At 55.0% G+C, this 18,465-nt stretch overlaps 2 protein-coding genes across 9 annotated transcripts, besides 9 other annotated features; both read right to left on the bottom strand.

The window, feature by feature from the left end:
- Positions 19 to 883: an enhancer, noted in NCBI's record as "H3K27ac-H3K4me1 hESC enhancer chr19:35644606-35645470 (GRCh37/hg19 assembly coordinates)". NCBI's record gives its function as "activates a minimal SCP1, AML or CMV promoter by ChIP-STARR-seq in naive H9 embryonic stem cells {active_cell/tissue: H9 hESC(naive)}" and the evidence as "EXISTENCE:reporter gene assay evidence [ECO:0000049][PMID:30033119]".
- Positions 284 to 11,331, bottom strand: FXYD7 (FXYD domain containing ion transport regulator 7). The gene is made up of 6 exons (NM_022006.2): positions 11,222 to 11,331; positions 5,863 to 5,892; positions 3,258 to 3,332; positions 3,104 to 3,146; positions 2,913 to 2,953; positions 284 to 692 (listed from the first exon to the last, which is right to left on the bottom strand). Exons 1-6 carry the CDS (start codon positions 11,250 to 11,252, stop codon positions 670 to 672), a joined length of 243 nt encoding a protein of 80 aa, NP_071289.1. The 5' UTR covers positions 11,253 to 11,331; the 3' UTR covers positions 284 to 669.
- Positions 1,833 to 2,384: an enhancer, noted in NCBI's record as "OCT4-NANOG-H3K4me1 hESC enhancer chr19:35643105-35643656 (GRCh37/hg19 assembly coordinates)". NCBI's record gives its function as "activates a minimal SCP1, AML or CMV promoter by ChIP-STARR-seq in naive H9 embryonic stem cells {active_cell/tissue: H9 hESC(naive)}" and the evidence as "EXISTENCE:reporter gene assay evidence [ECO:0000049][PMID:30033119]".
- Positions 3,083 to 3,482: a silencer, noted in NCBI's record as "fragment chr19:35642007-35642406 (GRCh37/hg19 assembly coordinates)". NCBI's record gives its function as "represses an EF-1alpha promoter that drives an FKBP-Casp9 reporter gene in an ReSE screen in K562 erythroleukemia cells {active_cell/tissue: K562}" and the evidence as "EXISTENCE:reporter gene assay evidence [ECO:0000049][PMID:32094911]".
- Positions 10,548 to 11,109: an enhancer, noted in NCBI's record as "H3K4me1 hESC enhancer chr19:35634381-35634942 (GRCh37/hg19 assembly coordinates)". NCBI's record gives its function as "activates a minimal SCP1, AML or CMV promoter by ChIP-STARR-seq in naive H9 embryonic stem cells {active_cell/tissue: H9 hESC(naive)}" and the evidence as "EXISTENCE:reporter gene assay evidence [ECO:0000049][PMID:30033119]".
- Positions 11,110 to 11,670: an enhancer, noted in NCBI's record as "H3K27ac-H3K4me1 hESC enhancer chr19:35633820-35634380 (GRCh37/hg19 assembly coordinates)". NCBI's record gives its function as "activates a minimal SCP1, AML or CMV promoter by ChIP-STARR-seq in naive H9 embryonic stem cells {active_cell/tissue: H9 hESC(naive)}" and the evidence as "EXISTENCE:reporter gene assay evidence [ECO:0000049][PMID:30033119]".
- On the bottom strand, positions 11,477 to 17,398 carry FXYD1 (FXYD domain containing ion transport regulator 1). 8 transcript variants are annotated; one of them, XM_017026874.3, is made up of 8 exons: positions 17,295 to 17,398; positions 14,446 to 14,510; positions 13,957 to 13,989; positions 13,380 to 13,454; positions 13,014 to 13,050; positions 12,065 to 12,114; positions 11,815 to 11,866; positions 11,477 to 11,669 (listed from the first exon to the last, which is right to left on the bottom strand). In XM_017026874.3, the coding sequence occupies exons 2-7, from the start codon at positions 14,504 to 14,506 to the stop codon at positions 11,844 to 11,846; spliced, it is 279 nt and encodes a 92-aa protein (XP_016882363.1). In that variant the 5' UTR covers positions 14,507 to 14,510; positions 17,295 to 17,398; the 3' UTR covers positions 11,477 to 11,669; positions 11,815 to 11,843. The 8 variants fall into 8 exon arrangements, with proteins under 8 accessions (XP_016882363.1, NP_068702.1, NP_001265646.1 ...); NM_021902.4 differs by lacking the exon at positions 17,295 to 17,398 and adding an exon at positions 15,692 to 15,762; NM_001278717.2 differs by lacking the exon at positions 17,295 to 17,398 and adding an exon at positions 15,354 to 15,451.
- Positions 12,794 to 13,356: an enhancer, noted in NCBI's record as "H3K4me1 hESC enhancer chr19:35632134-35632696 (GRCh37/hg19 assembly coordinates)". NCBI's record gives its function as "activates a minimal SCP1, AML or CMV promoter by ChIP-STARR-seq in naive H9 embryonic stem cells {active_cell/tissue: H9 hESC(naive)}" and the evidence as "EXISTENCE:reporter gene assay evidence [ECO:0000049][PMID:30033119]".
- Positions 12,794 to 13,450: a biological region, named in NCBI's record as "H3K4me1 hESC enhancer GRCh37_chr19:35632134-35632696".
- Positions 12,991 to 13,210: a silencer, noted in NCBI's record as "silent region_10516". NCBI's record gives its function as "represses an Ori minimal core promoter by ATAC-STARR-seq in GM12878 lymphoblastoid cells {active_cell/tissue: GM12878}" and the evidence as "EXISTENCE:reporter gene assay evidence [ECO:0000049][PMID:35858748]".
- Positions 13,321 to 13,450: a silencer, noted in NCBI's record as "silent region_10515". NCBI's record gives its function as "represses an Ori minimal core promoter by ATAC-STARR-seq in GM12878 lymphoblastoid cells {active_cell/tissue: GM12878}" and the evidence as "EXISTENCE:reporter gene assay evidence [ECO:0000049][PMID:35858748]".
- Positions 17,399 to 18,465: the final 1,067 nt, after the last annotated feature.

Raw genomic sequence — 18,465 nt, 5'->3', positions numbered from 1 at the left:
AGGGTGGGAACGGGGATGGGGCAGGCAGGTCTAGGGTGAGTGGACGCCTCTGAGAGAGCAGGGGGAGAAACGGGAGGGCTCTATTCTGGGGTCGCTGGAGGAAGGGAAAGGACAAATCCGGAGGTGTTGAGGAAGGAGAAGGGATTGAAGGGGGGCATCTCGGGGCACTGGGGGAGGAGAATGAAGAGGGGGCGACTCCGGGCACGCAGGGGAGAGCTACCCCAGGTTCAGTTCTGCACCCCTACCCACACCGTGCCCCACAGATGAGAACACACAGACAGAACAGAGGAAAAAACCAAATGCACATTTATTAAGCTCAAGACATGGACACTGAGGGGCCAGGGGGACGGATCTTCGGGGATGAGACAAGGAGGTGCAGGGGGGCCATACACGGGGATGCTGGGGGTGCTGGGCCGGGATGGACTCCCGGATCCCAGGAGCTGGAGGCCTGAGGCCCTGGGTCTGGGGTGCAGACGGGCTCTTTGGGGGATCGTCATTGCCAAGGCCTGGAGAGGGACAGCAGGGTGCAGCGGCTCCAGCCTTGGGGTGGGTGGGGCGGCTCATTCCGGGGAGCGCTCCCGGCGCGCGGCTGGGTCCCCACCGCCTCCACCCGGTCCTCAGGCTCCCGCGCTCAGGCAGGGTCGGCAGCGGAGTTTCCTCGGGAAGGTGTTACACGCCGCCGCCACCAGGGGCTGGGGAGAGAGGGGGTGCGTGAGCCACTAGAAAGGTGGAAACTGCCTCCCTCCCCACAGCTCGTTGGCTCTCCATTCCCCGGCACCATGGAAGCCAGACCCCAGGGACTGTCACCCCAGAGCTAACACTGAGGAGCTGTCTTGCCTCCCACACTCTAATGTCTTGTTCCCTTGGGGACACCTCCTGGCTGCTGTCATGGAGAGAAACACCTGCTACGGGGCTGGCGACCCCAGACCCAACCTGGGCTTTTGGGGCTATCCGCCTGCCAGAAAGGGAGTCCCCATCTCCCTTCCCATTTGCAATCTCCTCCTACACCCTCACTCCTTTCCTACACTCCCTGTCCTGAACATTTGGATACAACGGGAAGTCCCCCATTCCCCACCCGCTGCAGACCATCATTCACCTAGGATAGACCAGAAACCTGTGCAAAGTCTTCAGCTGTGCCCCAGGTGACAAGGCCAACCCCCATGCTGCCCCACGCATCCATAAGTGCCTTGTTCATGTTTTAAAACTCATTAAATAAACATGAAACAGGCCAAGCGCTGTGGCTCACGCCTGTAATCCAAGCACTTTGGGAGGCCGAGGATGGCGGATCGTTTGAGGTCAGGAGTTTGAGACCAGCCTGGCCAAAATGGTGAACCACCATCTCTGCTAAAGATATAAAAATTAGCCGGGTGTGGTGGTGTGTGCCTGTAGTCCCAGCTATTTGGGAGGCTGAGGCAGGAGAATCGCTTGAACCCAGGACGCAGAGGTTGCAGTGTTGTAATAAGCTGAGATCGTGCCACTGCACTCCAGCCTGGGCAACAGAGGACACAGCAAGACTCTGTCTCAAAAAAAAAAAAAAAAAAAAAAAAAAAAAGGAACGTGAAACAAATTCCACACCAAATACTTCTCAACCATTGAATAACCCGTGTCCCCCTCCCGCATTTTTTTTTTTTTTTTTTTTTTTTTTAGTTATAAGAACTTTATAAGAGACACAGAAATTCCCATTTCTGTTCTTTTACAAGTCTCCAGAAAGGCTGCATTTCCACTAAAAACAGGTCAAGTTATTTTTACATAATTAAAATTAACAGCCTCAAAGAGATCAGTCTTTCGTTGACATGCTTGCCCTGCATCCCTCTCGCTCTCCCTTTACACTTTCCATGCTTACACCCATTCTCCCTCCTCCACCCTCCACGCCCTCCTCCTCCCATCCTCCTCCCCTTCCTTCCTGGGCTCCTCCTTCCCACATTCTCCCCAACACCTCCGTCCTCTCCACTCTCTCCCCTCCTGTTCTTCCCAGCTTTCTTCTCCATCCTCACATTCCCTGCATCCCATATGTTCTTTTCCAATGTGAATTCTAAAATCTGCATTCTATTCATCTCTCTTTTTGTTATTTTGATGCAACTATTCAGAAACCTTCCCTCCCTCCCTCTGTCCCGCTTCCTCGGCTATTTCATCCTGGATCTGCCTGGCTGAACGATCAAGTCTGGAAAGCCTCTCCCCGTCTTCCTCAGTGCTCCCTCTCTCTCCCTCCTGATTGACAGAGCTCCTCCCACATGGGGCCCTTCTCTTCACAGGCCTGTGTCTTCCTCTCCTGGCAAATCAGCTTGTCCTGGCTTTTATAGGCTTGAGCATTTGTTTCTGGGAATCTCTGTGGACTCTGGGACATGTCACATCCCACAGCCTCCCCACGGTTTAGCATCATCTTTCTTTTCCCTCCCTCCCTCCCTTCCTTCCTTCATTTCTTCCTTCCTCTTTTTTTTTTTTTTTTTTTTTGACAGTCTCACTCTATCACCCAGGCTGGAGTGGAGTGGCACAACCTCAGCTCATTGCAACCTCCACCTCCCAGGTTCAGGTGATTCTCTTGCCTCAGCCTCCTGAGTAGCTGGGATTACAGGTGCGCACCACCATGCCCGGCTAATTTTTGCATTTTTAGCAGAGACGGTGTTTCACCATGTTGGCCGGGCTGATCTCGATCTCCTGACCTCAGGTGATCTGCCTGCCTCAGCCTCCCAAAGTGTTGGAATTACAGGCATGAGCCACCGCGCCCAGCCAGGTTTAGCATCTTTCATCTGCGGAATTTCCTCAGCTTCCTAGGGAATTGTCCTGTGATATCTGCAGGCACCACCCCCCCTCCGCCCCCTGCGTCCAGTCCATCCCCGCGACTTCCCTTCTGAGGGTTCCCTTCCCTGCCCCACCTAAAACTCTCCCAGAACCACACAGTTTCTCACCCTCACCTGAAGAGGGAAGCTCAGACTTACAGGATTTGCAGGTTGGGCTGTGGAGGCAGAGATGAGAGAGAAAAGTAGAAAGAGGTTCAATAACCATAGGCTTTGGGGAAAACGCATGGCAGGCCCAGTGGATCCTGCCCATCTGCTAGGGAGGCACCCCGAGGCCCCCTCCCGCTCTTTGCCCACTGCTGCCAGACCTCTCAGACCTGGAGTCCGCCTTCCTGCACTTCACCTTCTTGCCTGTTGGGAGAGAGAGACAGAACAAGAAGACAGGACATAGCGGGTAGGATATGGATGAAAGCCAGCAGAGGAAGCGGAGGCTGAGGCAGCCCAGGAATGGGTCGCACTTACTGATGACGATGAGGATACCCAGCAGGAACAAGATGGTTGCCAGAGTCATGCCCACAGTCTGCACCGTGTTGTAGTCTGGGGAAGATAATGGGGGACATCGAGGCAGGGACAGCACCTTGGCTGCACCTGGAGCCCAGTCCTGGCTCTGGGTGGCCCAGCCAGGAACCCAGAATCGCCCAGGGAGGCTGTGGACTGTGCTGGACACTCCTTCAGGGGGTTGATGTGAGGATGTAGGGTGTGGGCTTGGGCACCGTTAGCTCCCCTTGCCCTCTGTACCCTCTACTTTCCTCCCTTGCCCTCTCCCCCTGCGCTTTCCACCCTGGATATATATATAATACTCTCCCTCTACCACCTCCTCCCTGGCCCTGGTTCTGTCCACCATTGTCGCCCATCTGGCCTCTGCAGCAGCCTTCTCTAGGGTCTTGCTGGCCTGCCTGCACTCCCACCTCTGATAGCCACAAGGACCCATCAACATTTGAGTCAGATCTGGTTTCTCCTCTGCTCAGAGCCCTCCTCCCGCCCATTGCCCTCAAGGTAGAAACCACATTCCTCACTAGGGCCCTCAAAGTCCCATATGATCCAGTTCCTTTCCTTCTTGGACCTCACCCCACCTCACTCTCCCCATCAATCCTACTCCAGCCACAGTGGCCTCCCCACTGTTCCTGGGGCATATCCAGCATGATCCTATCCCAAGGCCTTTGCACTGGCTGTTCCTGCAGCCTGAAAGCTCTTCCCCCAAATATCCACGTGGCTCCTTCCCTCACCAGTGTCTGGGCTTTATTTGATTGTGAGCAAAACCTCTGGCTGTCCTATTCAGAATTTCCATCCTCTCCTCCACACTTTCCAATCTCATTCCCTTCTTTATTTTACTTCATAGGAATTATTCTTGCCTAATATTCTTGCCTCATAATATTCTTGTCTTTTTTTTTAAGAGATGTAGTGTCACTCTGTCACCCAGGCTGGGGTGCAGTGGTGCAATCATGGCTCACTGCAGCCTCTACCTCTTGGGCTCCAAGAGATTGTCCCTGCTCAGCCTCCCAAGTAGCTGAGACTACAGGCACACACCACCATGCCCAGCTAATTTTTAAATTTTTTATGTAGAGCTGGGCACAGTGGCTCATGCCTGTAATGAGCCTGTAATCTCAGCACTTTGGGAGGCCAAGGCAGGCAGATCACTTGAGGTCAGGAGTCCAAGACCAGCCTGGCCAACATGGTGAAATCCTGTCTCTTCTAAAAATATGAAAATTAGCCAGGTGCAGTGGTGTGGGCCTGTAGTCCCAGCTACTCGGGAGGCTGAGGCAGGAGAAGCACTTGAACCTGGGAGGCGGGAGTTGCAGTGAGCCGAGATTGTGCTACTGCACTCCAGCCTGAGCCACAGAGTCAGACTTTGTCTAAAAAAAGAAAAAAAAATCACGATCATAGTTCATTGCAGCTTCAAACTCCTGGACTTGAGCGATCCTCCTGCCTCAGCCTCCCAAAGCACTAGCATTACAGTTATGAGCCACCATACCTGGCCAATAATATTCTTGTCTAATATATAATTTTCATATTTTGTTTTCTTGAGTATCTGTCCCTTTCCCATTGAGTGGAAGGTCCAGGAGGAGGGCAGGAATTCTTGCATTCTTGAATTCTTGTCTGTGTGGTTCATTGCAGTGTCTCCAGCTGCTTGGAACATTGCCAGAAATAGAGCCTGTGCCCGCTAAGTATTTGTTGAGATATGAATTTATGGAGCACTCACTCTGTACCAGTAGTGGTCCAGGCCTCTACCAGCAAGGAGTTGACTTTCGTATTGTGATAAAACATTAAAGAAACAATCCCCCTCAAAAACAAGTCATGCGACACCAGCTGAGTATGGTGTGGCTCTTCCTTGCCAGGGAGTCAGGAGGGCCTATCCCAGTAGAGTAGTCTATGTTTGATCTGAGGCCTGAATAAGGGGGAGCCTTAGCCGGTCGTGTACAAAGGAGAAGCATTACTGCAGAATCATAGCACACGCAAAGGTCCTGAGATGGGAGAGAAATTGACACCTAGGGAAAAAGTATGAATGAGCAAAGGGGTGGGGTGGGGGCAAGAGGAGGGTGTTCAGAGGGGAAACTGGAGCCCGATCTACCAGGCCTGGGGTAGCTTATTTGAGCTTCAGTGCCATGGAGGAGATTTAATGCCACCAGTCAGGTATCTTTCCCACAGTCCTCATAGGTGGGAACTATTACTATCCCTTGTTTACAGAAGGGCCCAGAGAGGCAAAGTTGCTTGCCCAAGGCCATACAGCTAGTGAGTGGATAAGGCAGGATTCAAATCCAGGCAGCCTGGGCTCAGAGTCATTGCTTCTAAGGTTTTCCTTCATCTGCTTCTCTGGCGACACCAAGGCACCAGCCCAGATCCCGGTGAGACCTGAAGGGGGCTCAGAGAGAGTGTGAGGCATCCCCACTCCCCCATCTGGTTCTGCCCTCCATGAACTCAGCTGATGTGAACCACACCCACATATATGGTCCCGTGGCCAGTGGCCCAGCACGTATCGTGTGGCCACAGCTGAAGCCATGTCCGGAGTGATCTGTGAGCACCTGCAGCTACTCCCCAGTCCAGCCCTATCCCCAAATCCAACACTCACCATAGTAAAATGGGTCAGGTTCCTCAGGAGCTGAGGGAAAGAAGCAGAGAAAAAGAGAAAGAAAAAAAAAACTTAACAGTGTATTTCTTAATATTTTTTAGGATCCAGATGGAGCCACTGGCCTAATCATTTCTTTGTGGAAGTCAGATAGAGACCCCTTGGTTTGGATGATGTGGCCTCATGGCAGGCCGCAAGGCTGGAAGAGCATAGCTCAAGCTGGATTCCAGCCCCTACTCACTCCATCAGTCAGCACCATCCTCTATGCAGTGTACAATCTTCTCAAACTACATGGCAGTCCTGGTTCTGGACCCCTATGGAGGTCTGATGCAAGCTATGGACTCATTCCCTGAAAAACACAGACACACTCCCACTTGCACATGATGTCATGAGGTTAAAACAGACCCCATTTCCACTGGTGAACCAATGAATGTCTCAGCTTCCCCTGAATACTCCCTAAAACTTCTCAGTCACCTGAGAGCTCCGACAGGCACCTGCTGCTACTGCTGACATCCACTCACTCCTGATACTCCATCCAGTACAGGGAAGCTGTGCTGATTCATACCCCACATTACTTATTTCTTTTTCTTTCCTCCCTCCCTCCCTCCCTCCCCTCTTTCTTTCTCTCTCTCTTTCTTTCTTTCTTTCTTTCTTTCTTTCTTTCTTTCTTTCTTTCTTTCTTTCTTTCTTTCTTTCTTTCCTTCTTTCTTCTTTCTTTCCTTCTTTCTTTTTTTGAGACAGGGCCTTGCCCTGTCACCCAGGCTGGAGTGCAGTGGCGCGATCTCAGCTCACTACAACCTCCATCTCCCAGGTTCAAGCAATTCTCCTGCCTCAGCCTCCCAAGGACCGGGACTATAGGTGTGCACTACCACTGCTGGCTAATTTTTGTATTTTTAGTACAGACGGGATTTCACCATGTTGGCTGGGCTGGTCTCAAACTCCTGACCTCCGATGATCTGCCCGCCTCAGCCTCCCATAGTGCTGGGATTACAGATGTGAGCCACCATGCCTGGCCCATTATTACTTATTTCTAAGGCACCATCAAGTTTAAGATTCAAAATTGAGTTTGTAATAGTTTTCCCTGTGTGTGTGTGTATGTGTAAATATGTTTGGAACTCTACCACGTGAAATGTCCCCATCCATTAGAAGACACATAATGATTTCAGAAATGTTCACATGTGGATAAAATGTGTGTGTGTCTCTGGATTCACTTTTCTCCACTTCCCACCTTCCTGGACCCTAATCATGTTCCCCTGCAGGAGAGCTCAGAACATCCTTCCCATTCAACAAGTTCATCCTGATGGTTCTCGAATGCCTCTGACAGTTCTTATTATATTTGGCCTTCCCTAGAGCAGAATTTGGCAGCAGACTGTCTGCCACATGGGGAGAGGGTGAGGGGTGCCAGGGTGATGCCTGATGTCGTTGGTGTTCTCCTTCCCCCTTCCAGGCTCAGATGGATGGCTCCCTGGAGGTTGGGTAGGGCCATGTGACTAATTCTGGCCAAGGAACGGTGAGTAGAAGTGCATTGTCACTTCCAGGCTGGGGCATTTAAACATTCAGGAACATTCAGGCCTCCAGGCCAAAGCTCTGTTTCACTTCTAGCCTGGTGGCCTGAATGTTCACAGTGGTGACTGCTCTAGTTTTCTTTGGTGACTGGTCAACCTGTGATGGACGTATACGTGAACCTGGTTGTCATAAGCCCCTGAGACTTTTGGTACTATTTGTTACCACAGCATACTCTAGCTGAAACTGATTGATAGAGGTGGCCCCAAAGCAACACCTGTTTGTTACCACAGCATGCTGTAGCCGAAACTGACTGATAGAGGTGGCCCCAAAGCAAGACCACGGTTCACACAATGTGTAAGTTTACCCTTCCCAGGTCTCTGTCTAGTCTTCAAAGAGGATGGCTTAGGTTGGTGCTGAGGTATCTTTACCACCTTCCAACCCTTGTTAATCTCCCCCCTTTACCTAAGAGAAAACAGGCCTTGGGCTCCAAGTCTTCAGCAGGCAATAAAATCTAGGCAGAATTTTGTGGCATTATTTGGTTTTCTCCTTTATTTATTGATGTAACCAGCAGTGGGTAGCCCTGACTCCATTCCAGCCTCCCTGCTAAGCATCTGACAGATATCAGCGCATTTACTCTTAATCTTCATAGCAACTCTTTCATATGGGTGCGATCTTCATCCCCATTTCCTGGAAGGGGGACACCAGACCCAGAAAAGCGAAATCACCTGCTTCAGATTGCTCTTATGCTGCCTTCAACTTAAGGCAAAAAGAAGATGAATTTTCCAGCTGGGCACAGTGATTCATGCCTGTAATCCCAGCACTTTGGGAATACAAGGTGGGCGGATCACGAGGTCAGGAGTTTGAGACCAGCCTGGCCAATATGGTGAAACCCCATCTGTACTAACAATACAAAAATTAGCTGGGTGTGGTGGTGTGCCGCTGCTAGTCCCAGCTACTTGGGAGGCTGAGGCAGAAGAATTGCTTGAACCCGGGAGGCAGAGGTTGCAGTAAGCCAAGATCGTGCCACTGCACTCCAGCCTGGATGACAGAGCGAGACTCTGTCTCAAAAAAAAAAAGAAGATTAATTTTCCAGTTGTGATGGTGCTATAAAATAAAGCTCGTTGTTTTCAAAAGCTAATCCTGGGTTGGGCATGGTGGCCCACGCCTGTCATCCTAAGCACTTTGGGAAGCCAAAGTGGGTGAATTGCTTGAGCCCAGAAGTTTGAGACCAGGCTGGGAAACATAGCAAAAGCAGTCTCTATGAAAAATACAAAAATTAGCTGGGTGTAGCAGAAGTGCCTTGTAGTCCCAGCTACTTGGGAGGCTGAGGCAGGAGGATAGATTGAGCCCAGGATGTTGAGGCTGCAGTGAGCTGTGATCGTGCCATTGCACTCCAGCCTAGGCGACAGAGTGAGACCTTGTCTCAAAAAATAAAAATAAAAAAGCTAATCCTTTTAAGGAAAAAAATTAAATAAATAGCAGTGTGAGGAATATTTGAATAAAGCAAAAATTGTGACGGTAGTACTCAAAAGCGCCAAGATGGTGAGACGCTGCTTCAGGGTCCCTTGTGCTCTGTGTAAGTTTCCCCACCAGAGAGTAAATTTGTTTGACTCATCACTGCTGTTCATCCTGACATTTATGAAAGGCTCTTCAAGTTTTCTGGGATGAATGAATGAAGGAATGATTATGAGGCAGTCCTAGGCTGCAGGAGGCTGTAAAAGGTGGATTGTCTCACTTGTCTGTTTTCCACACACCCGTCCTTCCCCAAAGTTATCGGGAGCCCACTGGGTGAGCCCCTGTCCCAGAATCTGGTGTTCCATGTGGAAGATCCTCCTCCATGCGGAAGATCCTCCTCTGGTCCCTGCTGCCCCGGCAACCTGGGCCCTCAGGCGTGGCTGGGCTAAGGGTGGGGCCAGGAGTCAGGCAAAGGAATGTGCACTACTCCTGGCCAGCTGCCAAAGAGATATCAGGAAGGAGGTGGTTGCTATGGCAACTGGGGCATCTTGGGAGGTGAAGAGAGGTGATAGGTCCCGCCACCCCAGGCTGGGTGGGGTCCCCTGTGAGGTCCTGTGTGAGATGCAGGTTTCAATCTTGACCCTCTCCCCTCCTTTTGCACCTCCTGCCGTTGCCCCTGCAGGACTGGCTTCTGGCCAAGCTAAGGGTCCATTTCAGGGATAGGGACCCGGACCCAGCTGTGCTCATGCATCCCTCTTCTGTTCACTCCTAACTCTCCCTCCTGTTCTCTGGCAGGGTGGAGGGAGACTCTCCCCTCTTCCCCCCTCGCTCCCCAACAATTCATTAATTAGTTTCCTTAAGCAGCTTGCAATGCACAACATGCTTTTCCTCCCCCGGGGTTTCCCGAGACCTGCGGTCCCCTGTCATGCTGTGACTGGGAAAGGGGGAGGCAGAGGAGGTTGGGTTGAGGAGTCTGTCCTCCCACCTCTGCCCGTCTGCTGCCATCGATCCTGCTAACCACCACCTCTGCAAAAAGAAGCCCTGGGCTCCCGCCAGGCCTGCTGCCTCAGCCCTGCCCCCCTCCCTAGGGTAGCTTCCAGCCTCTGCAGCCCCCCCCACCCCCCGCCCTGCTTCGGATTCTGCAGATATGGCTCAGTGCAGCAGCCCCCGCCTGCTGGGAAGCGCGGAAGGGAGGGAGCCATCCAAGTGGAATTCGGGTTCCCTTCACTGCCAGGGGCTTCTCAGCACCCCTGGTCCCCTGCCCTCAGTGCTGGAGACCCTTGCTGGGCACTGGCTCCCTCTTGAAGCAGTCTGTGCCTTGCTCATCTGCAGAAGCAGGATTAGCAGTGGGGGCTATTAGGGGGCGACGGTAGAAGTGGGTGTTTAAGTGGGTGCATAACTGGGTTAATTGGTGTGGAATGGAAATCAGTGTGTGGCTGGATGGGGGCAGTAGGGGCAGCTAGGTGTATACCCAACAGCACCTCTGGGATTGGAAAACACCCCTGCTGTGGGCTGGAAGGAGGGTCCCATCGCCCCATTCCCACACATAGGGTCTCACTGCAGTGGTTTGGGCCCCACCCCACATGGCTCCCTTCTTCTCTTTCTACTCCCCTCTCTCCCCATGGGTCCGTCTCTCTCCCTCCGTCTCTCTGCTTCTCTCTCCATAGCGGTCTCAATCCCACTATCTCCCAGGCTCTCATTTTTTTTTCTCTCTCTCTCTGCATCTCTGTCTACTGCTCTCAGCCTCTCCCCTCCACTGGGAATCTCTCTGAGTCCATCTATTTGTCTTCCTGGGTCTTTGTATCTGTGACTCTGGATCTCCTGCCTCTCTTGGTCTCTGTCTCTTCCAGGTTCTCCCTGTCTGTCTCTTGCTATATCCCTTCTCTCTGTCTCTTCCTTCAGCTCTCACTCCTTTCCTCTGAACCTGGCTGTCAAGGGTTTCAGGAAACAGACACCCTAGGAGACAGCACTGGAAAGAAGAGGGACATGAACCTCCTCCCCTTCCCTTGCCCACCCCAGGGACCCTGAAATCTTCCAGAACGTCTCTGGTCGCAGACCCACCCGCTCCCACCCTGCAAGCTCATCTCTTCCCCGTCTGCTACCACCACGGTGCGGGACCAGCCACCCGGTTGCCATAGCGACCTGTCCGAGCATCCCTTCTCCCGGGACTGCCACTCTCCAACCGCAGGTCTGGCACAGGACGCCTGCCGGGGAGGGGGTGTCCCAGAGACCCGGAGGGGCGATCGGGGGGGCGCATTACAGGGGCTTCCGCCCACAGGAGGAGCGGACCTCCCTCCCCCAACTCCCTTGCCTTACCATTGCTTGAATCTCCCGACACCCTCTCTCCTAGGCTCTCAGATCCCGGAGCCCCCCTGCAACCCCCTCCCCAAACGACGCTCACCCTTTGTGGGGGTCTGGGTCGGGGTCGCCATGCTGGGCCGGAGCAGGGGGCTGCTGGATGCTTTGGCGGCGAAGGCGCGCTGCAGCAGCTGGAAGCAGGACGGACCGATGTGGGGGGGAGCTGGGGGGAGCCCTGGCGTGGGGGGGCCTGCAGCCAATGGGGGCCCGGGGAGCCCGCCCCCGTGCAGGCCACCCCCGCCCCCGCCCCCGCCCACCACCGTCGTCCCCGCCCCTTCCTCTAGGGTGGGGCGCCCCCTGCTGGGGCCCAGTGGCGCTGGCGTTTCGCGCTGAGGGACCGAGACCGACAAAGTGCTGTCGAGAGGAACGCACGTTTTATTGGAAGTCTTGGCGGCAGGGGGAGTCTGCGGGGGCAGGGCTGGGGAAGGGGCGGCGGAGGGGGCGGTGGGCGCGCAGGTGGAGCGTGGGAGATGTCAGGTGCCAGGGGAGTCCTGTGAGGGTGAAAAGGGTGAGAGGCGAGGGGGGACGTCCAGCCCCACCCCTCGCCGCCCTTCAACTCTGGCACTTGGCCCCCTCCCTCTCCCGCCTTTCCTTCCTCCCTCCTTCCCTCCCACCGCCGTGTCAGAGCTGCAGCACCTGGCCGGATTCCATCGCTCCAGGTGTTTCTACCGCCTGCGGGTGGACAGACCTGGGGGGAACACGGAGATCGGGGGTCATTCTGGAGAGGCATCCCCAGCTCCTGGGCAGGTGGGGCCCGCGGCGGGGCAACTCCCCGCCCTCCGCTTTCAGATCCAGCCCTTCCCTCTACGCAGCCAGGGAGGGCCGGGAAAAGCGGTCCTTGGAACCAGCCCTCTCCCCAGAATACCCGCAGTCTCCCCAGACTCACGGCGGATGGAGCTGCGGAAAGTTCCCTCCTCTTCATCGGGTTCCCCAGTCCTGGGAAGACAGAGGCAGAGGGATTTCGGGATGGAAAGGGGGAGAGGCTGCCCTTCTAGGAACCCCCCAGTACAAGCCTCCTTTCCCAGATTGGTGTAACTAGGCCCAGATATGGACGAAGAGCAGGCTCGGGGTCCGCCAGAAATGAGGAGCACCCAGGAGCAGCTTATGTGCTGGCAGGGGGCTTCTAAGCTGGTTAACAGTGAGTACCTCCGCGGATTTGGGGGCAGGGATGTGAAGTTGGTGGGGGAGGGATAGTCATGGGGACTTGGCAGACTGCCATGAGATGGCCTGGGTTGGAAACCCAGAACCCCCCATCTTCCACTTGAGTGATCTTGAACAAAGTGACTTTACCTCCCTGTGCCTTAGTTTCCTCATCTGTCAAATGGGGTTAATAACAGCACCTCCCTCCCAGAGGAAGTGAAACCGTATCTAACACGTGGTACACACCCAGTAAATATTAGCTACTACTTATGATAATATCTATAATTGTTCTAACATATTCATACATTGTCCATGCTTTAACATTTTATTCGAAGAGGAATCAAAGAGCTAGGAACAAGACTCTAAGCTAAACTGGGCCGCGTGTGAGATGATCTCATTTCACCGCCGTTTCTTCTTTCCTGCACTTTGTGTTATCACGCTTTGTGATTTTTCTATCTGTGGGGCTGTTGGAACCCACGGCCACCGCCTCCACTAGGCTGGGAGCTCGGCCAGGAAGGGCGGGAGGTTTTTTCCTCGCTTGGTCCCAGGGCCAGGCTTGGGCCATGGCACATAGTAGGTGCTTAATACATAGTCGCTGACGGGGATCGGGCTGCGGGTCAGGGGTACTCCCCGCCTCACCCGCGGCGCCCTCCAGAGCAGGAGCGGGCGAAGGAGGGCGGGGAGGGGCGTCTTACCTCTGCTGCTGGTTGAACTTGCACCGGCATCTTCTGCCTGTGGGCGTGGAGAGGTAGGAGAAGCTGAGGCTCCCTCCCGGCGGGCGCCAAGCGGCGCTGTAGCTCCAGCTCGCCCTCGCGAGGGGCGGGGCTTGGGGGACGGGGCGGGGCTAGAGGCGAGACCGGGGGCCGGGGAACCAAGGCAGGGTAGGCGGGGCAAGGCCTGGGAGGGGTTGGGGCGGGGCGGGGCCAGGGAGGGGCGGGACCAGGGAGAAGCGGGGCCAGGGAGAGGGGGGCTAGGGAGAGGCGGGGCCAGGGAGAGGCGGGGCCAGAGAGAGGTGGGGCCAGGGAGAGGCGGGGTAGAGGGCGGGAGCTAGGGGCACTCACTCAGCACGATGAGGATGCCCAGGATGAAGAGGATCCCGGCGATGACGAGGCCTCCGATCTGCAGGGACTGGTAGTCTGTGAGCAGCAGAGCAGGGAAGGTGAGGGCAGGGAAGACAGGAGGGAGAATAGGAGAGGGGTAAATTGGGAAGGAGGGAACAGGGAGAAAGGACCAGCAGGCAGAAGGGGGGAAGTAAGATAATTAAGGGGGAGCAGATATGGGAGGAGGAAAGTGGGGTACCAGGGAGAGGAAAGGGGTGTATAGGAAAGGGAGGGAGGGGACAGGGAGGAGGAGGACAGGGGGGAGAGAAGACGGGAAGAAGCAGAGGATGGGCCACGAGATGCTGAGACAGACGCAGGCAAGAGAAAGAGAACCAGAGAGGTATCACATAGACAGTGACACAGATAGACACAGACAGGAAAAGATGCAGACAGGTGGAATCAGAGAGGAAGGACAAAATAGAGGGAAGGAGAATGACAGAGATATCAATACTGGGACTCTGGGGGAGGGCGAGGGGGAATCAAAGGACCAGCAAAGCCAGGCTCTCCCCCAGGACTCAAAATTAGACCCCCCGCTCACCGTAAGTGAACGGGTCGTGTTCCTTTGGACTTTCTGGAAAGAGAGAGAAATCAGGGGTTGAATGCTTCCTGGGGTCCTGGCAGGGAGGGGCATGAGGAGACCACTGGAGGCTCTGCCTTGCTGGGCTTAGAGTCTGAGGGTGTCTGGGCAGGCTGCCCACACTCTCTGGGTCCCAGCTGCCCCCTCTGCACTGTCCCAGATGGGGCAGGTGGCACCTAACTGCCCCAGCTCCCTGACTCACGGCAGGCTGTCTGTGACCCAGTTATCCCATCGGGGATTCAGCCCCATCCCACCCCATCTTTGCCTGATCTGGGGCTTCCTCTCCCCTCCCCCAAATACCAGCCTGTGACTGGACCCCACGTGGAGACCCCCAAACTTCTTGGTACCCCAGCCGACTTAGTCTAGGTTGGGGTCTCCAACTTGGTTCTTCGGTCCCCACCGCCACCCCTGGGGCTGAGGTGGGTAGCGGGCAGCCTCCCCTGCACTCACCTGCCTTGGCCATGGTGAGGAGACCCACACAGAAAACCAAGATGTGGCCAAGAGACGCCATTGTCCTGGGGGGGACACCACGGATTAGGCAGTGTGTGCCCTTGCTCTCCCACATAGGGCTTGAACCCAAGGGATTAAGTCAGAGACAGTCTGGGGACTGAATCACAGAAGTGTTTGTCCTCTATCTTGGTGGCTCCAAGCTAGAGAAACGGGTATCCCCAGCTTCGTGGGGACACAGTGTCACCAAAACAACCTCCACGATGGGATCACACAACAACACAACGTAGCAGGGACGGGGGTGAGACACACAGTCCCCGGGGGGCCTCCCTTGGGCCTCCACCTCCCGCAGCAGGCCCCCGATTCCCAGACCTACCCTGGCAGGGCAGAGGAGGCGCTGCCTCACACAAACACAGAGCAGGAGACAGCAGGGCACGCCCAAGTCCCACCTGCCTACATGCCCGGCCTCACTGTGCCCCGCGAAATCCCAGCTCCCTGCCCTCTCCGCCCGCCCGCTCGCGGCCTGACCCCGGGTATAAATATCTCCCACTTCACCCTGGAGGAATTCTGCTCGCTCAGGCCACCATGGCAACAGCCTGCCTTCCCCCACTCAGGGGGTCACGCACAGCCCTGCCGGGGTGAGGCCCAGCTGCCACATCGCCACAGGCTGCCCCTGTGGGAAAGGTCACCCCGTCTCCTCCCTGGGCAGCAACGAGAAAAGGAAAAGACAGCCCCTCTGCCCGCCTCTGGGTGACATCTTTCACAATCGGATGTCAGGCAAGTGACATGAGGCCCAGCCCAGTGGGCCTTAGAGATAGAAAACACATGCTGGGGCAGGGATACACACACACACACACACACACACACACACACACACACACAGTGGGGCCGGAATGGACATGAACAACAACCTCTCCCCAAACTGCTGGTTGGAGCAGGACGTGGGGTGTAAACACCGTCAGGCATCCAATACTCCTCCTCTGGGCCTCCGGTGCCCCCACGCAGTGACGCAACCAGCCCTACACACGTGTGTGTCCCAACTCCACACCCTGCCAGGGTGCACACGCACCAGCAGGGCAGGGAGGAGTCACCCACATCCCACCCTGCAGAACCCACTGCCTCAACCACACTCCCTCCCTCTTGGGTTGGCCTGCCTGGGAAGCCTCGGGCTGGCCACTCCTGCTCCCAAAATAGGCGGCCCAGCCAGACCAGGGGTGAGGCCTGGAGGGAAGGAGTGGGGGACGCTCACCCCAATCGGGCTGTCCCCTGCTGAAAGAAGGCCCCCAAACGTCCTGCTGTGCCCCGGGGGCTGAGCACTTTGGACCCCCTGGCCCAGAGCTGGACGCGCCGCCCCCAGCAGCCTCCCCTCCCAGCCCCACCCCACCCATGCCCTCCCCAACCAGCAGCTGAAACTGGAGCTGGGGCTGGAGGGGGGCCAGGGGGCGGCCCCCAGCCCAGACTGCCCTGGCCCGCTTGGTTAACTCTCTCAGTTCAGAGAGAGCAGCAGCAGGCAGCCAGCAGGCAGGCTGGAGAGGCTAGGAGGATTGTGGAGGACAGGGTTGTGAACACACACACACACAAACACACACGCCTCCAAGAGCTTTTGGGCTGAGGCGGCTGCCCCCTGGGAACTGGGTCCAGCCAGGGCCGAAGGTCACCCAGCCTGACTGCCCAGGAGCCCACTGACCCCCGATCCCAGTGCTCCGTGAGGTCCTTAACAGGGCTGTTTTAGAGGACGGGAGGGAGGTGTGTGTGTGTGTGTGTGTGTGCGCGCGCATGTGCGCTATCTGCTGTGGTGAGATCCCCAGAAATGCACCACACACACACACCCACACACAATCCCAAAGACCCAGATATACAGGTACAAAACCAGACAAAACCATGTATGTATGTACATCCATAGAAGCAGACACACACAGAATGACACACTGATAGAGAAACCCAAAGACCCGGACACACAGCCAACACCTTTTATGCCAGTCACAAAATACCAGAACAAGCACATTTATGTCTACACAGACCCACGCACGCTCATGTAGATGGATGGCCACACAGAGATACAGTCAAAGACATAGCCACATCACCATCTACACTCACAAACTGGCCACAAAAATGCATGTTTATGTGAAGACCCACCCACAAATGGCCATACAGAAACACACAAGTATGTGCACACCGCACATAAATGCATTCTAAGATGCATGGCCAAACATGGCCAGGTACGGTGGCTCACACCTGTACTCCCAGCACTTTGGGAGGCCAAGGCGGGAGGATCACTTGAGGCCAGGAGTTCAACACCAGCCTGGCCAACCCGACGAGAGCTCGTCTCTACTAAAAAAATATACAAAAATTAGCTGGGTGTGGTGGCGTGCGCCTGTAATCACGGCTACTCCGGAGGCTGAGGCAGGAGAGTCACTTGAGCCCGGGAGGCAGAGCTTGCAGTGAGCTGAGATCATGCCACTGCACTCTAGCCTGGGCAACAGAGCGAGACTCTGTCTCAAAAACAAAAACAAAACAAAAAAACCCCAAAGGTACAGACATGCAGCCAGCACTCCTACATGGTCCCAAAGATAGGAAGGCCAACAAGCTTGTGTACACACAGACAGATTTCCATGGGCACAGATACACAAGCAGAAACACCATCAAGGACAACCCGCCGCTCTCACACATACCCACAAAAGCAGAAACACACACACTGGTTCACACCCTATGCTTGAGCAAACAGGCACATGGTTGGCCACGGTGACAGATGCGCAGGCTGACACACTTGCATGTTCACACATTCCAAAACCACAGATATGTATTTAACCCCACACTTTCCTTCCCCTGAGCTCTTGTCGGGGACAACACACCTGGCGTCCCCATGGGCAGGCCAGGTTTACAGGTCCTGGTGACAGGGAAACCTGGAATGGCCCAGGCACTGCACTCCTGGTTGTGTGAACTTGAGCAGCTCTGTGCCTCATTTTCACATGCTCCAAAATGGAAAAATCACTAAGATCACGTGTATAATCCTGGACAGGGCTCAGAGGTCTCTGAACTTGACATTGTCTTATGATTAACTTCATTTTTTGTTTGTTTGTTTGAGACCGGGTCTTGCTCTGTCACCCAGGCTGAAGTGCAATGGCACAATCATAGCTCACTGTAGCCTCAACCTCATGGGCTCAAGTGATTCTCCCACCTCAGCTTCCTGAGTAGCTGGGACTATGGGCGTGCGACACCATGCCTGGCTAATTTTTTAATTTTTTGTACAGTCGGGGTTTCTCTATGTTGCCCAGGCTTGTCTTGAACTCCTGGCCCCAAGCGATCCTCCCACTTCAGCCTGCCAAAATGTGGGATTACAGAAATGAGCCACCGTGCCTGGCCTATTATTATTGTCCTTGTCATCCTCCTCCTTGTGAACTGGACTGCTGGGCTGGGCACCCTATGAGAGTGGGTTCAGATCCCTCTGTGCCCCTGGCACTCAGCTCTCCAACTTCACTTTCAGGGACCCTGTTTATCATACCCAATAGTCAGTGAAGGAAACTGAGAGCTGACGGGCATGGCTCAAACCACAAGCTGCTGGGGTCTGCTCCTCTAGGAGCTGGATCCGGAGCCCACCCCCAAGCTTGCCGACCACTGTGGGATGCCCACCTTGTGCTGAACCCCAAAAGGATGAGTTGCCTCCATCACCTGAGTCCTCTCCACAACTGGGAAGCGGGTGCCACGATTGTCCCCGTTTGACAGATGGGAAAACTGAGGCCACACAGGACTGGGCCTGGAACCCAGATCTGCATGACCTCCAAGCTGTTAAGCCCCCTTATCCTCCAACGAGGCTTCTGGGCGTGGGCGTCAGTGTCAAGAGAGGCTGCATGCATTCCTCAATCACAGGATGAGTCTCGTCCCCAGGCGATGAGGTGGTACAGCCTAGGGGTTAGGTTTAGAGCTGACTAGAGCCAGGAAACTAATCACATAACTTCCCTGTGCCTCAGTTTCCCCATCTGTAAAGCAGGGATAGCAGTACTGCCCATCTCACAGGGTGGCTGT

Source organism: Homo sapiens, chromosome 19 (genome assembly GCF_000001405.40).
Source record: "Homo sapiens chromosome 19, GRCh38.p14 Primary Assembly".
Taxonomy (NCBI): Eukaryota; Metazoa; Chordata; class Mammalia; order Primates; family Hominidae; genus Homo; species Homo sapiens.
The sequence above is the reverse complement of the archived record's forward strand: the minus strand, read 5'-3'. Positions and strand labels throughout refer to the sequence as shown.